Source organism: Homo sapiens, chromosome 10 (assembly GCF_000001405.40).
Source record: "Homo sapiens chromosome 10, GRCh38.p14 Primary Assembly".
Classification (NCBI taxonomy): Eukaryota; Metazoa; Chordata; class Mammalia; order Primates; family Hominidae; genus Homo; species Homo sapiens.
Genome location: NC_000010.11, coordinates 19,562,747 through 19,584,857, shown reverse-complemented (window position 1 = coordinate 19,584,857; position 22,111 = coordinate 19,562,747). Strand labels below are relative to the sequence as shown.

General features: G+C 36.3%; 1 protein-coding gene across 10 annotated transcripts in view; it reads right to left on the bottom strand.

The window, feature by feature from the left end:
• Positions 1 to 22,111, bottom strand: part of MALRD1 (MAM and LDL receptor class A domain containing 1) — a 687,552-nt gene that overhangs the window by 149,621 nt on the left and 515,820 nt on the right. For 9 of the 10 annotated variants that reach the window (XM_011519453.3, XM_011519455.3, XM_011519454.2 and 6 more), the window contains one exon: positions 17,155 to 17,356. In XM_011519453.3, the coding sequence (XP_011517755.1) occupies positions 17,155 to 17,356 (202 nt within the window). Of the gene's footprint in view, positions 1 to 17,154; positions 17,357 to 22,111 lie in introns of those variants that run through there. The other variant, XM_047425167.1, reaches the window with a different exon arrangement.

The window sequence follows — 22,111 nt, the reverse complement described above, 5'->3', positions numbered from 1 at the left end:
ACTCCCACACATTAATAATGGGAGACTTTAACACCCCACTGTCAACATTAGACAGATCAACAAGACAGAAAGTCAACAACAATACCCAGGAATTGAACTCAGCTCTGCACCAAGTGGACCTAATAGACATCTACAGAACTCTCCACCCCAAATCAACAGAATATACATTTTTTTCAGCACCACACCACACCTATTCCAAAATTGACCACATAATTGGAAGTAAAGCTCTCCTCAGCAAATGTAAAAGAACAGAAATTATAACAAACTATCTCTCAGACCACAGTGCAATCAAACTAGAACTCAGGATTAAGAAACTCACTCAAAACCGCTCAACTACATGGAAACTGACCAACCTGCTCCTGAATGACTACTGGGTACATAACGAAATGAAGGCAGAAATAAAGATGTTCTTTGAAACCTACGAGAACAAAGACACAACATACCAGAATCTCTGGGACGCATTCAAAGCAGTGTGTAGAGGGAAATTTATAGCACTAAATGCCCACAAGAGAAAGCAGAAAAGATCCAAAATTGACATCCTAACATCACAATTAAAAGAACTAGAAAAGCAAGAGCAAACACATTCAAAAGCTAACAGAAGGCAAGAAATAACCAAAATCAGAGCAGAACTGAAGGAAATAGAGACACAAAAAACCCTTCAAAAAATCAATGAATCCAGGAGCTGGTTTTTTGAAAGGATCAACAAAATTGATAGACCGCTAGCAAGACTAATAAAGAAAAAAAGAGAGAAGAATCAAATAGACGCAATAAAAAATGATAAAGGGGATATCACCACCGATCCCACAGATATAAAAACTACCATCAGAGAATACTACAAACGCCTCTACACAAATAAACTAGAAAATCTAGAAGAAATGCATAAATTCCTCGACACACACACTCTCCCAAGACTAAACCAGGAAGAAGTTGAATCTCTGAATAGACCAATAACAGGAGCTGAAATTGTGGCAATAATCAATAGCTTACCAACCAAAAAGAGTCCAGGACTAGATGGATTCACAGCCAAATTCTACCAGAGGTACAAGGAGGAACTGGTACCATTCCTTCTGAAACTATTCCAATCAATAGAAAAAGAGGGAATCCTCCCTAACTCATTTTATGAGGCCAGCATCATCCTGATACCAAAGCCGGGCAGAGACACAACCAAAAAAGAGAATTTTAGACCAATACCCTTGATGAACATTGATGCAAAAATCCTCAATAAAATACTGGCAAACCGAATCCAGCAGCACATCGAAAAGCTTATCCACCATGATCAAGTGGGCTTCATCCCTGGGATGCAAGGCTGGTTCAATATACGCAAATCAATAAATGTAATCCAGCATATAAACAGAACCAAAGACAAAAACCACATGATTATCTCAATAGATGCAGAAAAGGCCTTTGACAAAATTCAACAACCCTTCATGCTAAAAACTCTCAATAAATTAGGTATTGATGGGACGTATCTCAAAATAATAAGAGCTATCTACGACAAACCCACAGCCAATATCATACTGAATGGGCAAAAACTGGAAGCATTCCCTTTGAAAACTGGCACAAGACAGGGATGCCCTCTCTCACCACTCCTATTCAACATAGTGTTGGAAGTTCTGGCCAGGGCAATTAGGAAGGAGAAGGAAATAAAGGGTATTCAATTAGGAAAGGAGGAAGTCAAATTGTCCCTGTTTGCAGATGACATGATTGTATATCTAGAAAACCCCATCGTCTCAGCCCAAAATCTCCTTAAGCTGATAAGCAACTTCAGCAAAGTCTCAGGATACAAAATCAATGTACAAAAATCACAAGCATTCTTATACACCAACAACAGACAAACAGAGAGCCAAATCATGAGTGAACTCCCATTCACAATTGCTTCAAAGAGAATAAAATACCTAGGAATCCAACTTACAAGGGATGTGAAGGACCTCTTCAAGGAGAACTACAAACCACTGCTCAAGGAAATAAAAGAGGATACAAACAAATGGAAGAACATTCCATGCTCATGGGTAGGAAGAATCAATATCGTGAAAATGGCCATACTGCCCAAGGTAATTTACAGATTCAATGCCATCCCCATCAAGCTACCAATGACTTTCTTCACAGAATTGGAAAAAACTACTTTAAAGTTCATATGGAACCAAAAAAGAGCCCGCATCGCCAAGTCAATCCTGAGCCAAAAGAACAAAGCTGGAGGCATCACACTACCTGACTTCAAACTATACTACAAGGCTACAGTAACCAAAACAGCGTGGTACTGGTACCAAAACAGAGATATAGATCAATGGAACAGAACAGAGCCCTCAGAAATAATGCCGCATATCTACAACTATCTGATCTTTGACAAACCTGACAAAAACAAGCAATGGGGAAAGGATTCCCTAGTTAATAAATGGTGCTGGGAAAACTGGCTAGCCATATGTAGAAAGCTGAAACTGGATCCCTTCCTTACACCTTATACAAAAATCAATTCAAGATGGATTAAAGACTTAAACGTTAGACCTAAAACCATAAAAACCCTAGAAGAAAACCTAGGCAATACCATTCAGGACATAGGCATGGGCAAGGACTTCATGTCTAAAACACCAAAAGCAATGGCAACAAAAGACAAAATTGGCAAATGGGATCTAATTAAACTAAAGAGCTTCTGCACAGCAAAAGAAACTACCATCAGAGTGAACAGGCAACCTACAGAATGGGAGAAAATTTTTGCAACCTACTCATCTGACAAAGGGCTAATATCCAGGATCTACAATGAACTCAAACAAATTTACAAGAAAAAAACAAACAACCCCATCAAAAAGTGGGCAAAGGACATGAACAGACACTTCTCAAAAGAAGGCATTTATGCAGCCAAAAAACACATGAAAAAAATGCTCACCATCACTGGCCATCAGAGAAATGCAAATCAAAACCACAATGAGATACCATTTCACACCAGTTAGAATGGGAATCATTAAAAAAGTCAGGAAACAACAGGTGCTGGAGAGGATGTGGAGAAATAGGAACACTTTTACACTGTTGGTGGGACTGTCAACTAGTTCAACCATTGTGGAAGTCAGTGTGGCGATTCCTCAGGGATCTAGAACTAGAAATACCATTTGACCCAGCCATCCCATTACTGGGTATATACCCAAAGGACTATAAATCATGCTGCTATAAAGACACATGCACACGTATGTTTACTGCGGCATTATTCACAATAGCAAAGACTTGGAACCAACCCAAATGTCCAACAATGATAGACTGGATTAAGAAAATGTGGCACATATACACCATGGAATACTATGCAGCCATAAAAAATGATGAGTTCATGTCCTTTGTAGGGACATGGATGAAATTGGAAATCATCATTCTCAGTAAACTGTCACAAGAACAAAATACCAAACACCACATATTCTCATTCATAGGTGGGAATTGAACAATGAGAACACATGGACACAGGAAGGGGAACGTCACACTCTGGGGACTGTTGTGGGGTGGGGGGAGGGGGGAGGGATAGCATTGGGAGATATACCTAATGCTAGATGACGAGTTAGTGGGTGCAGCGCACCAGCATGTCACATGTATACATATGTAACTAACCTGCACATTGTGCACATGTACCCTAAAACTTAAAGTATAATAATAAATAAATAAATAAATAAATAAAGATTACAAGAAAACTATGAGGGAGGAAACTTATAATTTAGTAGCTGCAATTATAAGTACTCTTGTTTTGAGGTTATTGTGAATTATAACTTTGTGCTTATGTCTCCATAAGAGCCCTTCATAAAGTATACAAATATTAATTTCTTTTTTACTTTAAAAAATCATCCTCTGTAATAGGGAAAGAGAAAAGAATAATTTGATCTTATTTCATTTCCATATATTTAACAGCTTAAATATTCCTAGAAAGATGGAACATGACCTCTATTTGACCTCTATTTGACTAAAGACTCAGAGAGTCCTGGCATGCGTGGGAAAGTACACAGAGTGTGTGTAGTATAAGGAATCAGGAAGGCTTGTTTGGCCATGACCAAATGTCAAAAGCCAGACAGAGAGACAAGAGTGAAGAAAATGGAGAATTTTCCAGAACTTATGTCCAATATGGAAGCTAACAAGTACCTGAGAAGAGATGCCAAGCACAAAATGATAACTATTTTCAAAGTGATTAACTGCAGCTAGTCGAGGCCAAAGCTAAATAAAATTAACATAAGAGGGAGCTGGAAAAAATTCAGACTTAACACAACATAAATGCACTTATGTATGTATACGTGATTTGTATAAATATGTGTGCATGCATGTACACACATCCAGAGGCAGGTTACCTGAAAGCAGGAAGCTACTCACTAATAAAAGAGGAGTTTTGGAGAAGATAGCTGGGCAGTGGATGATGGGCGATGTCATTCAGAGGAAACATGAGATTGAGGTGGAAAAGTGAAAACCCTATTATCAGAGTTCTTCCTTTCCTCCAGCACATACAGAGGCTGCAGACTTGAAAGAAAATAAGATCTGAAGAAACAGAACGTCTTAAGAGGCCCCAAAAGAGTTATCGCTTTTACCCAATATCAATATTTGCCAGGATTATAAAGAATTCCTCCATAACCAAAAATAGTGATACCACTGCAAATGGCTGAAATTGCATACATGATGAATTTGCTGCCTTCGTATAACCCCCAATAATCTAAAACATAGGTAAAAGTGATAGAATATATTAAAAATATAAAAAAGGAGTGTGGTTGCTGGCCATTTTTTTCCTGCCATAAGGCCTGCAACCCAGAAGGTCCCCTGTGGATTACAGATTCATTCCTGTTTAATCATTTCCATACGGTGCTATAGTTCCCAGTCTGACATATCAGTGTTAGTGTGGCCACAATTATATGCAATGTTGGACGAGGTTGTGTACTTGGCCTAATTTAACGCTGTTGCTCACTGATAGCTCTAGCTCATATTGACTGCAAAGTTTATTTAATAGCTAAAGCATTCCCCAAATCCTCAACTCCTGACTTCTAACTTTAGGCCCAGTATTATTAAATACATTCCTCTTTTAATTCAATGTTCACATTTCTTCCAGCACACATTTCCCAAAGGAAGAACTCTGCTCAAAAATGGTTCTCCAACGCCTTACAGGGTTAAGTCTACCGTTTTTGGTTGGTATTCAACAAACTGACACCTGATTCAGACTCACCTATACTCACGTTCTTCCCCATAAAACCCTAAAATTACAGAGGAAATAATGAATATATCAGATGATAGGATATGCATTATATTCTTGGCTAGCTGATATAGGGCTGAGAAAGAGAAAATCATCATCGGTCCTATGAGTGGAAAGCTGTTACTCACAGAAATTATGAGCAGGTGCTTTGGTACCAAAACATAATCAGATCTTTCTCTTAGTATAAAAGGCTGAGAATGGTAAGTTAGAAGCCATCTCTCATCACATACCGTAAATATATACAATAAAAAAATTCTAGGAGTTTTAGACAATCTATCAGTGAAGGAAGTGTCAAATTTCACATGCACTTTGGGAACAACAGTTTTATCTGTCTTAGAAAGGTCAAATGAGAGACAAATCATTTAGTGACATGGGCATTAGAGAAGACCACTCAAGACTCAGATATTATTCTACAATTGTCTATTAGAGACCTTCCAGGTGCAATATCTCAACTACTTTATGATGCAATCAAATAGAACAAGTGGCTGTGATACCATAACTTCCAGTTAACAGTGATCAGCACTGAAGACAAAGACAAACATAGCTATGTTTAACGGAAGAGTAACTTTTGAGGAATGTGAATGAGTAGCTTAACCTAAACTTTAGAGTATTGTATACGACTGTATCATTATTTTATAAAAGAAAGAGGTTTACATGAATTTCTGCCTTCCTAATAGAAACAACTAAATGTGATTAGATTAAGTTGTGTTGGGTTATCTCGTCCCATTATATAACACGTGTTCTTGGAGATTGTTGGTCAGAACTGGATGGCTCAAGTACGAAGATGTAAGCTAAAAGATGTATATATGGAAACCGACAGGGCGCACATGTCACCAGCATAACATGAGTTACATTACCATCAGAAGAGGAAGGAAGGGCAAAACACAAGGTTTTGATATTTTGCTTCTTGGACTGGTCTTTAAATTGCTTAGTCATGTGTACTGTGAAAAAAAAAAAACCCAGCCATGAGCTTGTCAACTCTTTTCTGTCCCCCAGGCTGGAGTGCAGTGACATGATCTCAGCTCACTGCAACCTCCGCCTCCTGGGTTCAAGCAATTCTTCTGCCTCATCTTCCCAAGTAGTTGAGATTACAGGCATGCGCCACCACATTTAGCTAATTTTTGTATTTTTAGTAGAGACGGGACTTCACCATGTTGGCCAGGGTGGTCTCAAACACCTGACCTCAGGTGTTACATCTGCCTCAGCCTTCCAAAGTGCTGGAATTACAGGCATGAGCCACTGTACCTGGAAGCTGGTTATTTCTCTAATCCCATGCTTTCTATTTTGAGCAACTTTACATTGGTGAAAAATGAAAACTCATATATGTATACACAGTCACTGTTTGTTGAACCATGAATCCCACCCAGGCCCTCATTTTCAGCTATTTCTACAAATAGCAACTGGTCCTTTCTGGGTGAAATATTCTTACACATCAATAAGATGCTACTGCAAAACAAACAAAACAAAAACTGGTCATTCTGGGAAAGTCTCTTGTTTTTCTATTTGAAAAAAAATCTTTTCTTAAAACTTAGACTATTAAGTAAAACAGTGTTGCATTCTCCTATTTCTTAGGCAACAAATGAACTTGTTTTTATAAAGTCTGGACGCTTTCCAGCAAACAACATATGTGTTCCAGGGAATCAGAAAAATCTTAATAAATGTAGCCTCTCATAGCCCAAGAGAACAAAACAGGGCCAGACTGACCCTGGCTGTGAAAAGCCCACAGAACCTCTCTGACATACTTGGCCTGGTAAAACATTTGGATGCTGAGCTTTTCTGAGTGAAAATAAGAGTCAGCAAAGGTTATAATTTCCAAAAGTGACCAGGAATTTAGGAATTGATTATTGTTTCCATATGGTTGTGAAATGACTAAGTTACCATGTTATGTTTTATTATATATATATATATGTTATGTTACATATATATTAATGCATATGTGTTTATGTGGCCAACGTCATCATTCACGTAAAAGGCTTCATCTTTAAGACAGAGTGTTGGGACAGTGATTTGTGTTTTATCTTTGAGTTCTGGATGAGACACTTGTGAAATTCAAGCTAATGGAATATAGTTCACACTGAGAGTGATTTTTCCATGGTTGTCATTTGGAGTTCCTCCTCCTAATTCAACAAAATTCCTTCCAGCCTGATGATCAGCAGGCAACCAAGTAAGAACCAGCTCCTAGTATAACAGGCAGACTCCTCCAAAGGCTGACAAGCAGGGAATCCAGGTTTTACTCCCTTAAGCCTGCCTGGTATTAGCATTTAATGGCATTTTCTGGCTCTAATGTTTTTGCCTTCAAATCTAATATCCCTTCTAGGAGCAAAAAGGAATTAACCCATCTTTTGACAAACAGTAAGGACTTCATGACCCACAATAATAGATTTAAAATCTAATAATATTCTATAATCCAATAAGTGAATCAGGATTGCCTGATAATCATTTCCTTTCGGCTTTTATACATTTATCACTATTCATTTTAAAACGAGGCCTTATGAATCACTAACTGAACCAAAATCATAAAAATGACACTTGTATTAAAACCAAGTTTTAAATAATTTATCTACAATTGTTATATTACATACAATACATACCTACTCTATGTTATATATTGACTTGAAATTTATTTTACATTTTTCTCAATCAACTTTGAAGTTAAAGATCACTCATTCTTGCCAAATCAAAAAAAAAAAAAAAAACGACAATGTGGATTTTTCAATGAGGAGGAACTAAAAATGACAGAGAAAAAGCTACAGATATCAACAATACCTTATAAGATATACTATAGAAGAACTGCAAAGTTAAGACTAAGACAATCTCAGAGCGTGGTTTCCTGTGGGGAGGATTAAGGATAAATTCATGAAGAAAGCAGCTTTCGCTCTGCCCCTGAAATTGGAGGAGGATTTACACAAGAGGAGATAAAGGGCTGTGCTTTCTCAGCCAGAGAAGTGGTAGGACTAAAATCATGGAGATGAGGGGATAAGGGTAATGACTTGAGAAAGACAAATGATCCTGTTTGATGGGATCATTTTATAGACAGAGACAGACAAGTCAGTAGGTGTACTAAAGAATAAGAAACTTATTTAGTAGGCAATTAACCACTTAGCATTTTTCTCCTCTTTATAACTTGTATGAATTTATGTATTTTGATTAATTTCCCTTCCATTTGCTCTATATTATACAACACGAAAGTATACATGGAGGGTTTATTGTTGCTGGTTAATATTATAATTTGGCACAAATGTTGCAGAATTTTCAAGCTTAATTCTGATACAATGAGAATAAGAATTGCTATCATCCAGAGATGCATGTTGTGTAAATAAAGATGATAGAGTAACTTAATGTGACTTTGAAGTGTGGAAATACGACTTGGGATTGGAAGTGGTATGCTCCAACCAGCACTTTCAATTTCAGAGGAATGGCATAGGGAGTATTCGAGATTATTCATAGTGATGTCAGAGGGGTAGATAGCTCAGCTTCCAAAGCTATTACTTGAAGGCAGTGGTATTAGCCAGTCTTACCCTTGAATGTTGTCAACCTCACTTGCTTCCTGCTCATGTCCTTGGTTTGGGTTCTTAGCCTTACTTCTGAATTTTGGAGCAATCCAATATCCTTTCAGTAAACTTACTTTTTGCTTAAGTTAGCCCAACTGCAATTCTGTTGCTTGCAATAACATATTCTTTGGGCTATTACGGTAAGATAGGGGAGTGGTCTATCTTTCTGGAAATGACAACATAATTGGTACTAGAGGACTAATTTGGGAGTTGTATATGTGTGAGTAAATTAGATATATCAGTTATGTGGCCGTTACAGAGATTCTGATGAACAATCATAAGGTCTCAAATGAGAACTTGGGCAGTAAAAAGAAACTGGGAGAAGAAAAGGTTGCAACATTTATAGAACTTGCTGACTGAGCTGTACTGAGAGTAAGGATATGGAGCAGTGGACAATAACTGGTTTCAAAGTGGATATTTAGAAGGGTATGCACAGGCACTGAAGACATTAATGGCATTTTCTTATTATTCATAACCAAGAGATTTTTGAGGCCTTCTTTACCAACTGAAACAAAAGGTACAAATATCCTTATTATGAAAAAAATTATTGCTCGTTGGCAATAATCTCTATTAGTAATGCTGAGTAAGTGTGTGTTTGTGTGTGTGTGTGTGTGTGTGTGTGTGTGAACCATGGCCTTTACTTTCATTCCACTGTCTAGCTGGGAGGGAGGTGGTGCTGTTGAACCTGGGGCTCACTCCTCTGACACTATGTGTAGCAGACTGCTTGTACTGTGCTGAGCATTTATTTTTAATATCACCTTCAGTGATGTCACATGCACAGCTTGAAATCAACCATGCTGGGAGTATTTACACCAAAGAAATAGGCAAATGCCACAAACTGGGGGTTTGTTTAGCCCTACTGGGTCTTGCTTATACCAATAGTTGGTCCTCTGTATATGTGGGTTTTGCATCCCATGAGTATTGCATTTGCCATCTGCATTTGGTTGAAGAAAATCCATAAATAAGTGAAACGGGGCAATTCAAACCCATGTTGTTTAAGGACAAACTGTACTTTAAACTTTCAAGTATGCATCATTATAGCAGTATTTTCTTAGATTGTAAACTCCTTGAGAGCTGTAGACACTACTACATTCCTACCTGTCTTTCCAATCCAACTCAAGGGCACCACATAGATTTTCAACAAGTATTGACTGAATGAATGGCAAACTTAAATTCAAAGACACGCCCAGTAGTGAGAAGTCTTCTGCATCTAACTGCAATGACATTTCTACTTTTACCTCGCTGCCCTAATTCTCAGATCTCCTTTAACTCCCTCCTCATTCTCTCTGAACTTTCTCCTCTCCCATGTCATGCCCTGTGCCTTCTGTTTCCCTAATCCTCTCCTCCAAATCCAGTATCATATAATCATAAAATGGCAGAGTTAGAAGGGATTTAAGCAATCATCTATTTCACTTCCCCGGTGACATAACATGGTCTAGAGAGTTTAAATGATTTGCTCAAAATTGTACAAGTATGGTACAGCCATAGTTTAGACCAAGCTCTCCAAAATTTCATTCCAGTGGTTCTCTTTCTATCACTTGATACACCACACAGAGCCTGCTAGACTATTCACAAAATTCATTCTCTCTCTTTCTCTCTGCCTGTCTCTTGTTCGCGATCTCTCTTTTCCCCACACATGAAATTGAGAACAACTTTGGAGGCTGAGGTCACTGGTGAGTATGAAGAGAGAGGTGCCATATAACATATAAATTCATCTGATAGTGACTTTTACTTAATCATCTCTTCATTCAACATATTTCTCTAGTCATACAACATACTTATTGAATGCTTACTGCATAACAGGAACTCATCCAGGCATATAGAATACACCATTGAACACAACTGACAAAGATCTCTGCCTTTAAATAATTTATGCTTAAGAGATTACATCTGAAAATAGTTACTTGGACTTGCTATTCAAGCCTAGAGATACCAGAGAAGAATGGGAGTCTCTATTCATTAACGAAGTGAGAGCTATTATTTTTCAGCAGTGAAGCAGAATTTGTACTATTCCCCTTGACTTTCTTAAGAATTTTATTCTTTATTTTGTTTGGCACCTTGCTATTTGCCAATAACTTATATTTATCAAGTCAAGACAAAAAGGATGCCCTATGATGACATTTCTTTTCTTTACAATATGCATTCACTCTCCGAAGGTCTATTTTCTTTCAATTCAATAACAACAAAACCTAGTCAGGGTGGGTGGGGAATAAGTGCCCATAATGTTAATCTCCCAAACTGGAGTTTTCTCAGGGTTTGAACATGTTGTAGCACCTCATTATTTATTGTATTTATTTAAGGGAGTTTCAGATGCAGCATGTTTCAATGGAGAATATTAAGTGACATATTAGGTCACTTAAGAATTATTCTTAGGTTTCTCAAAATGATTCCTCATTTGCGTGAAGTGGTTAATGCAACTCTTAGGAAAGGCATATTCCTAAATCCTGACAATAATCATTTCATGAATGAGAAAAATCAGGTCCAATGAGTAGTAAGCGTAAGGAAAATTTTTTCTTTTTTAGGGGGAAAGGGGTGGCTGAGCATGGGAAAAGTTTAATGATTGTTCTGGGAAGAGAAAGAAAATGAGGGAGGCGGCGAATCCCTGCTTTTCCTGCCTAAAGTTGGATGAAATGTGATTTATTTCCTCATGTCTCTGCTCCACTGGGCTTCCATGAGACCACTTCCTTGCTGTCTCTTCTGCCCAGGGCTGCTGCCACCACCTGGCTCAGAGGAAGGGGCACCAGAGGCTGGCTGAGCTGGGTAGGTGCCCTGATCCACCATGCCTGCCATGCAGAGCCATGCCAGCCTTGAGTCCCTCCTAGGAGAGGGCCATGGTGATGTGAGTCTGAGCCTTAATGGCTTCCAGGGCCAGGGAGAGTTTCCAACCACCTTGACCTGGGGCAGGATCCAGAAGGAACACGTGCCATGGTCCATGTCATCTGCCCACTGTACAGAATCCAGAGCTCATGGCTCAGTGGGGTCCCTTCCCAGACAGCAAACAAGAGAGACAGAAAGCAAATCAGGAAGCAGTGTGTAATGAACATCTGCACCCAGTTCTTGACTATAAAATAGAGTTCAATGTTCCCAATTGTATTAGTTTTCTAAGGTCGCAGTAACAAAGTATCCCAAGCTGGATGGCTGAAAACACCAGACATTTATGCTTCCATAGTTGTGGAGGCCAGAAGTCTGAATTCAAAGTATTGCTAGAGCCCTGCTCTCTCTGAAGACTCTGGGGAGAAGCTGCTCCACTCCTTTCTCTTAGCTTCTTTTTAGCTGACCATGTTGGGCATTCCCTGGCTTGTAGATGAGTTACTCCAATCTCTGCCCCCTTCATTACATGGTACTCTCTGTGTGTTTTCTCCTCTTCTTCTTCTAAGGACATTGGTCATATTGGATTAGGGCCCACCGTACTTCAAAATGCCGTTAATTTACATCTTAATTACATCTACAAAGGCCCTATTTCTAAATGGGATCACATTCTGAGGTCTTGCAAAGGACATGGATTTTTGAGGAGATACTATTCTACCCAGTATACCAGCCAACTTCTCTATGGAAATAATCCACTTCCTAGCTATGGTGCAATCTCCATAGGGTTGTGTCTATTGGTATTTGCCACCTTATTAAACTCCTGACAAAACTGTGTAGAAATGCACAGTATTTTCAAGCCGTTGTTGTTTCAAATATTTTACAACCTCGCATATAGTTTTAAAAGTATCAATGTCCTAACAGTGCTGTCAAATGTTTCTTCCTCATGGAGACAGATGAGATCCTCCTTGTTTCAAATGATAGAAGTAAAACAGAAAACACATTTCTCTCTTGGAAACTCACATGGCTAAGGAAAACAGATGCAATACAAATAAACACACTCTTCTGCTGACTCAGAATTTCTGGAGACGCTCTATTTCATCAAGTTTGTCTCATTTACAAAATGTTGCCCTGGGAAACCTAAAGGAATTAAGGTAGGACAGAGAAGTAATAATGCGGAAGGTAAAGGTTGGTGGGGGATAGGACTGCTGTTTTTAGTGGAATCTTCTACATGGAAAGAAAACTGCAGGTAACTTGGGGTGACAAATGTTGTTCTATATTCCTTCTGATTATGGGAGTTTGTGGTGGTGGTAAAAACGACAACAAAACACCTAATACGAGGTTGAAATGAAGTTGAGAGTTTGCCATTTTTCATCGTAGGATGTTAATCTGGACCTGAGCAGAAAGCTGGCAGGTTCAACATACAAATCTGGATGTTTTGTTATAAGATCTTAAGAAAATTATCTGTTAATTCAGGCGCCTTGGTTCATTTGTGTCTCATCTGAGTTAACTAAGGAAAGACAAACAAAGCTAGTAGTTTTAATGGTATAGACTTTTTCACATTTCCTAAGGGCTGAAGTATGAACACATAAATGAATACTGAAAAAAATCTATTTAATTTCTGTTTCTTGCTTTATTCAGTAAACATTCATTGTGGTAGGTCCTGTACTATCAGAATTCTTGCATTTTTTAACAACTATATTTCATTGGAAAACTGCAACATATTCTGTAGATTTTTAGCCTACAAAATAAAAACTTTAAAGAGGAATGTCTCAAAATTTGACCTATTTTAAATTTTACGTGAAAAAGAATGCTTCCTTTATCCAGCATTTCTGGGAAATGAAGTTTTCCTTGCTAAGTACTAACACTTCAAAGATAATTTTTACCAAATGTCTCTGAGGCATATATATAATTGTTATTTTTTTTTTCCTTCTTGAACATCTAAAAATTCTGTCTGACTTCGTTGGCTGCTATTTGGAAAGTTAAGGCAACTGGAAGAAAAACTGCTAAGGCAAAACTAATTCTAGATTACTCTTTCTTACACAGGATAAACATTTGCTCCAGAACAGTGAAACATCAGATCCCTGAACTACTAGCAGAACAGCTCACTCATAATGTTTATTCTGCCTGATGTTCCTTAACTTTGGCAAGTAAGAAGAGCTAATTATAATCTGTTCTCACATTTCACAAAGTTTCACAGATATGAGTTATTATTAGCAGGAATAACTATTGGAAAAACACAAGACTCAAAGTAATAGAAATAAATCCATCTATGCAATAGTTCCCTATAATAATTCCAACAAATAACTTCATTTAGGGCAAGATTAAAACAACAATTAACCCAAAATATGTGGTTCTAATAATTATATGTATCATGACTTTATACTTTTACTTGATAAAGTAACATCATTATTTTTTCCCAATTACAAACAACACAGTTTTAAGAAGACATTTAAAAATATGGAAGAAAAATACCATGAAGAAAAGAAAAATAATTCATATTTCTATTTTTCAGAGACAGATATTATATTTTGTATATCTTTCAGGATTTATACATAGATATCTTTTGTGATGGATATCTTATTAAAATTGGTTTCACACTTTTCTTTACCATTTTCTACACTTAACAACAGACTCTTGTATTATTTAGATCTTGCATTGGTTATAACTTTCACATTCACCAATATATTACGCATATTGGCTATTATATGACATAGGTGTTCAATGCCTAAATTATGTATTAGGCACCTCTCAAAATTTTCCACCATAGTGCCACAAACCACAGGGAAGAGGATATTAGTAATAGTGCTAAAGGATCACATTTCTTTAAAGCTTTCTGTTTTCTCTTTGACATTCCCCTCTATAGTAGATTTGAGTTTACTTCAAATGTCACATAATAAATTACTTAACCTTTCTTGCCAAATCTTCAAATAAACCCAATGAATTACATCAGATTTATTTCACGGTATTGCATAATCCCTAAGACATTGCTGTGGATATCTGTATACCCCAGTCTGAGGAGTACTGATTTAATTTATGATTTTCTAAAAGCATCTGCCTGAATCAATAATGAAGTCGTGCTGTAGAAGCTATGCCTTAAGACTCTGGATTTTGGAGGAGAGAATGGGGCTTGGGAGAGGTACGTTTATTACACAAAATGACAAAGTTCAAGGTTTAATACCAAAGGTCTTAGTGTTTTGTTTTGTTTTTAAATCGTCCTTGACAGGAAAGTCTGTTCTATAACACACTGGGAAAGATGAACCTTTATACTTTAGTGAATGTTAGGTTGTTGTTCACACAATCAGTTTTCATTGTTAGTATGTTATTTTGAAAAACAGTAATTTCTTAGGCTACATTTCCTAGGCCCTATGTTAGAATTTGGAGATGAAATACAAGCTCTCAAGCTTCTCTGGCTCTTGAGGAGCTCAAAATTAGTAAAATACATATAATTATGTATTATTCCATTATATACATATGGAATAATATATATAAGAAATATATATAAATATATATTCCAGTATATATATAATTATATATAATGATAAATATGGAATTCTATATATGGACTGCATGTTAATATATAAGTTACTAATATATAATATAATAATATTAACAATATATAATAATATAATATATAATAATACATTTTATAATATATATACATATTATGGAATATATATATAAAAGACAGAGCAAAGAATGACTGGAAGAAGAGGTATTGAAGACATGAGCTGCAGAAGACTTTTATGGAGCAATGGCTGAAAGAAGTTGAGAAAGCAAATGTTCTAAAAATATATATTCATGCTTGGGAAGATGGAGATTTTTTTTTCCTGAGATAAATGGTGAGAAAAAGAGTTTGGAGACAGGTGAAGGCCCATTTGGAGGTGAAAATGAGAAAATTAAAGGAATTTATCACAAAATGGCTTTATTCTATTCAAAGGACACAAAAATACCAGCAAAGTAAAGAACATGCCAGGGAGAAATGGGAGAATTTGAGAATTGCTGGAGAAAATTGGTGCCAGGAAATGAGAAACTCATGCATCTGGGACCCTAAAAGGCCTAGCTAAGGTGATAAACCAGCATATTTAGTGGTCCCCATTAGCATGACCAGCAGCAGTTTTGGAAAATTCAGATGGTTATATGACCTCAATTGCAAAGATGATTAAAGCCATTATGGCAGAATATGGGATGAATAATCTATTCTTATTACTATATGAATATCGATCTAGAATATATTTACAATAATAGATTTACTTACTGTAAATAAATCATAATTTATTGTAAATAAGTTTATTTATCATAAAGCCATTATGGCAGAATTTGAGCTGAATAATCTGTTCATATTATTATGTGAATATGTATCTAGAATCTACAGAGGTGTGCCGATAAATAAATGTACTAACATGTGCAAAATGCTTAGCCCATCGCCTGGCACATACTATTCAAATTCGTGTGAAAAAATTAAGAAATAGAACATAATAGAATTCAAAATTCTGAATGCGAATGGATTTGGATAAGGTGTTATCATTAAATCTATAATTATTGGGGGAAAAAGTAAGAGGCTGCTTATGGAACCCCAAAAACCAGGAGGCCTTGATGATCTAGAATATATATTTTTTTCTTATTAATGTTACTAGAAAATGGGTTTAGGAGGAGTAATGAAGATGAGAAAGTGGTGATTATATGAGATTTTTAATCTTAAGATTTCAAAGGGGATGCTCAGGCCCTGAATGTTAACCATGGGAGTGACTTCCTGAGGAAGCAGGCTCACACTGGTTATTAGACTCAAAGAAGTTGATGTTTTAGATAGGGTGTGTCACCTGAAGTTGAAATTGCCCAGGATTTTGAATCCAGAGAAAAACTATGAGAAGAACAAAAATTCAGATGTGTGGCCTTAAAAGAAAAGAAACTTTGAGTAGGAGTGTTAGGAAAAAACAACAACAACAACAACAACAACAACAAAACCACTTTTAAAGAGGCATTGAGTAGCTAGAAAGACAATGACCCTACTATTTAATATTTTAAATGGAAGACTCAGTAAGGGAACAAACAGCCCCACTTAGGGGGGGAACATCTTAAACAGTAGAAATTCAGATTTCAGTTAAAGGGGTGACTTTTTTAGAAAAGGTGTTTAGAATAGAACTTTTTTTTTCTTTTTGAAATAGAATGAGCATTCTAGCTTGTACAATAGAAACGGTTAGGAGAAGGAACGTGGCCTGGGGAAGGGAAAAGCTTAATACAGATGGAGAAGACAGTCTGGAAGATAATAGGTAGCCACAGGGGCCTTTGCCTTGTGCAGTTCTTGTGAACCTTTGGGAATAAGGAAAGCAGAAAATAAAGCTACATTCACCGAACAAAATTTCCTCAGGGTTTCTAAAACAACTTTAGTGCAAAGTTATTTTGTTGCCTACAAGACATGAAAATTTCATGGCGAAGTTCATAGGCAGAGAAACTTTACTTCTTAGTATATGTGACTCTTTTCCATGTGTAAATAGAACTGGACCCAGAAATAAATGTAATTCCTCAGAAATTCCCAAATCTTTAGTATATTTAGATACTAAAAACAAATACTTATTCCCATTTTCTGAAAGAATCACTTACCTCCAGTCACACACTCTGGGGTAAAAGAGATGTCATCAAGAGCAATAAAGATGTCCTCATTTCCATCCAAATCAGCTTCAAATGCCACCTTAAACGGACTGTTACTGGAGAGAGGCACAGAGCCATATGTCCATCCCGTTCTTTTATTTCCAATCACTGACCACACCAGGATGTTTAGCCCCGATTCTTCAATGGTATACACCTTTAAAAATCATTAAAAAATAACTTTTTATGATTGGATATTAGAAGTATCAGGACATCCAGATGATTGATGAAAGAATGAAATCTCTGGCTATGTAACAGCTCAATACATTGACTATTGTATTTTCTATCTGTAGAAATTGTGGGTTATAAAGTGAGCCAATGGATGTTATATTTTCCTGGGTTAGTAGGACCTTTATTTGCTTCTGTCATCAACTTCTGTACGTCAAACTGGACATAATTAAAAAAAACCGTAACTGTCTTAAGCATTTAAAAAGCTGGAGGAGATATAAACACAAATTTTTTTATTGCTAAAGAACTTTGTCTATGTTAGACTAAGGTTGTGTGACTGCAGAAAAAGAGGACCCTCATGATACATGAATATGATAAATGAATATGAGATTATAGAAGTCATTTTAAAAACCACAGTAATGTGCAGAAAATATTTTAACATTTTGAAGACAGAAAATCTTCCTGGATGAACTAACATTGATATTCACCACTTTTTTTAATAGTTCAGTGACTAACAAATGCAAGAAATAAGGAAACAGAAAGAGTTAGCTTTGAAACCAACAAACATACATGCTAGATTCTAGTACTTTTGCTTATCAGTACAAATAATTTAAAAAAATAACATATGGCATTTTCTAGTGCTGTTTAAAACATTCTATAATTGAGAAAAAAGTTAAGATTAAAGAGTTATATTTCTATATTCTCTTTTTGCACCTAAATTTTATAGTTATCAGATACCAACGTTATATATAATTTGGTAATATAGCAATATTTAAACATCATACCATATACAGATATATATATATAAAATACTATCTATATATCTCTATATATTTATATTTGGCTTATGGTATACTTCAGCATCAGTTATACAACCCTTTTTTTCACATGGGAAAAATAAGACCCAGAGAAAAGAAAACACATGGATATTAATTTTCTTCTATTGCAATAGTACATTTTTCCAGTGACCTCCCTCTTACTAAAAAATCTTACTGTGTCACTGTTTTCTTAGTGTCAAAATTTAGCTACAGTTAACTTATCCTATAAAATATGGCCTGGCGTGGTGGCTCACGCCTGTAATCCCAGCACTTTGGGAGGCCAAGGCGGGCAGATCACGAGGTCAGGAGATTGAGACCATCCTGGCTAACACGTCTCTACTAAAAATACAAAAAAAAAAAAAAAAAAAAAAAAATTAGCCAGGCATGGTGGCAGGTGCCCGTAGTCCCAGCTACTACTCAGGAGGCTGAGGCAGAAGAATGGCGTGAACCCGGGAAGTGGAGTTTGCAGTGAGAGGAGATCATGCCACTGCATTCCAGCCTGGGCAACAGAGGGAGACTGTGTCTCAAAAAATAAATAAAAAATATATATCCAAAATTTATTCTATAAAAAGGAAAGAATAACAGTCATCTTATTTTATGATATTAAATTGTCATTGCAGAAATACTAGCAAGAATCACCAAATATTCCAGAGACAGAAGATAAGAATGCTGCTAGTGTCCCCAAGTACAAAAGAAATCTAAGATCAATTTCAGAAATCGAGATGTTAATGGAAATTAAACAAAACAAAAATAAATCAAGATGATTATAAACTAAAGAAAAATTTAAAACTTGCCCAAAGTTTGGAAACCTGAAATGTGAGACTTTAACCCTAATATCAAGTTGGACATTTTGGAAAAGAAGCTTCTCAAGACATTTCTCAAGCAAAAAATTACTTTTAATGTTGATCCTTTAATTAACAAAAGCAGCTAAGATTCAATCAGAAGGGAATTTGGATCCATTGACTACTTCCAGTCTGACACGTAAGCACTCATCCCAAAGAATCTTCAGCTCCAGGATCTGGTGGATACTTGGTTTACAAGTTTATGTAATTACTTTTCCATTTCTTAAAAATTAAAAATAAAAAGATGTGAAGTTTCTAATTCAACTTGTTGATAATAGAGCATACTATACAGAACCTAATTAAAGTGAACTCTGATTTTTACACAAATCTTGGTTTACATCCCAATAACTTAAAAAGAAATGGCTTTATTATATTTATTTTGTAATTTCTTCCTGGCAAAATTAGTTTACAAATTACATGAAAATGTAACTGTAACACTTTGTTTTTCCCCAAACCTCAGCATATATTTATTTATTAATGTGTCTATTTTTATTGGTTTTACAGTTTATTTTTCTCTCTGCATTCAGTCTTTTTAATCTTCAATCCTACATGCTCTTGTCAAATTCATTTTCGTTCCATTCTCTTCCTACTCTACTTCTCAAAACCACACCATGACTTTCCCTCCCCAATGTCATGAACATTAAACTCTCCAATACATGTCAACACATCTTACCCCATTATTTGACCCTACCACTAATCCCAATTAATTCTGGTCAACTTTACTAACTCACTATTTATTTCAATGAAATTTCTGGCCAGTTTGTAGGTTATTTCATTAGTAACATGTTATTTATAATACCTCCAGTATATTAAGTTGAATAATTACATGTTACGTCAAGTGTTTTCATAGCCACTGTGGCCAATGAGAAAACTAGGAGTATTACTTAGGAACTCATAACATTGCTTATTCATTATGTCTAATGAGAAGCCCACTAACAACTAAAATTATAGCATATATTTCTGTCCTTCAATAGAAATGATATTATTGTATTCTGAGGGTGTCTTTGTGATAACTCTCAGCAAAGTAATTTTAATAACTTTTAAATGTTGATAATTTTGAAAAACCACAATGGCTAACTTCCTTGAAAAATAATTAATTCTAATGTCATTTGTTTCTAATTTTACATTTATTAAACATACTTAACTAAAACGGCAACTCATATCACAGTAATAATTATTTGAAATAGCTTTCTAAAAATTAACTGCTGGATGAATTTGCCTATTTCTATTTTAATATTTTTTAAACTTTAGTCAAACACAGACCCAGTAATATATTAACTGTCAACATTTTATAATGTAAAGTAATAATTTTAGCATAACTTTTGTCATAAAATATGGATTCCAAGAATATACAAAAATATTAAATTATAGTAGAGTTTATGTTATCATCAAGGTTATATACAAAGGTTATATTATGATCAAAGCTACTGCTTATAATGTAGAACATTAAAAACTTAAAGAGAACTTGCTAAATTTAAACATAGATAGACCAAAATCAGGTCATTTAAATATAACTATTATAATATTATCAAATTAAGTCTATGTTAAATTTTTTGATGAAGAAACTCCTCAGCATTTATTTTTAATGAAGACTCCTTTGAAGGAAAACATTCAACAACAGATATGAAGAGGTAATACAAAATATGAGTGTTAAGTTCCAGAATAGATGGTGTATTAAGCCATGCATGCATTTCTATAAAGGAATACCTGAGACTGGGTAAAACTTAAGAAAAGAGGTTTAACTGTCTCATGGTTCTGCAGGCTCTCCAGGAAGCACAGCACCAGCAACTGCTTCTGGGGAGGCTTCAAGAATCTTTTTCTCATGGCAGAAGGCCAACTGGGAGCAGGCACATTACATGGGGAAAGCAGGAAAAAGAGAGACAGTGCCGGAGGCGGGCGGTGTGCCACACTTTACAACAACCAGATTTTGTGAGAACTCACTATCAGCCATAAGAGATCCACACCCAAGACCCCACCAGGCCCCACCTCCAACATTGGGAATTACACCTCAATATGATTTGGAGGGGACATCCAACCTATATCAGATGTGTATTAGAGACCATCTACTTCAACAATGTCCATGTATCTAGGTTGGCCAGATAAGGCCTTGAAAGACAATGATTAGGAGTTTTTCCTGAAGTTCCTCTCCTGCAGTTTCCAAACACTCCTGGTGCCTGCAATGTTGAAGGCAGGTCACTGGCACTGACTTGAAGTCTCTGAGTGAAATCCTTTGGCTAAGAAAAACACCGCATGCATTTCACTAGGTATGTAGCTTATTAAAACCAGTGTGTGAAATGCATCAGTGAGAGGACAATATGACATTTCTTGGCCCCAGCTACACTCAGCTGTTCTAAAAGGGGTCTGCTCTTTAATTACCACTGATGAGGCAAAGCAATGAAGTGAGTTACTGCTTAATCATTAGAAGTGCATAGTTGCCTATGGGTTAGTTTGAAAACACTCAAATCATATATAAGAAGAAAGAAAAAAATCTAAAGTAATAGGAAAATTTCCCTTGAAGAGAAGAGGTTACAGGTTTTAAGGTAAGTTGATACAGGATGGACATAACAACAATGCTACTGATATTAATGAAAATTTAGCTCATTCCCATATTTTCTGTCATGTCTCCTAAGTGATGTATGATTGTAGGGTAAGACCAAATAACTGCCCTCTATAGCTTCAGAATTACAGATATATAGAGAGATCAAACAATCCATTAACTGTACACAGCACAGACTTGCAGTCTCTGGTTCAGCATATAAGGAACTGGAAATCATTGATCCAGTCTTCACACACAAAAAAAAGCTGAATAAACTGAAAATCAACAACTATTTTTAGATCCATTAGAGCAGTGATCCCCAGTCTTTTTGGCACCAGGGACCCTTTCATGGAAGACAATTTTTTCCACGGATGGGGTGCCAGGGGAAGTGACTTTGCAATGAAACTGCTCCACCTCAGATCATCAGGCATTAGTTAGATCCTCATGAGGAGCACACAATCTAGGTCCCTCACATGCACAGGTCACAGTAGGGTTCATGCTTCTATGGGAATCTAACGCCACTGCCACCAATCTGACAGGAGGTGGAG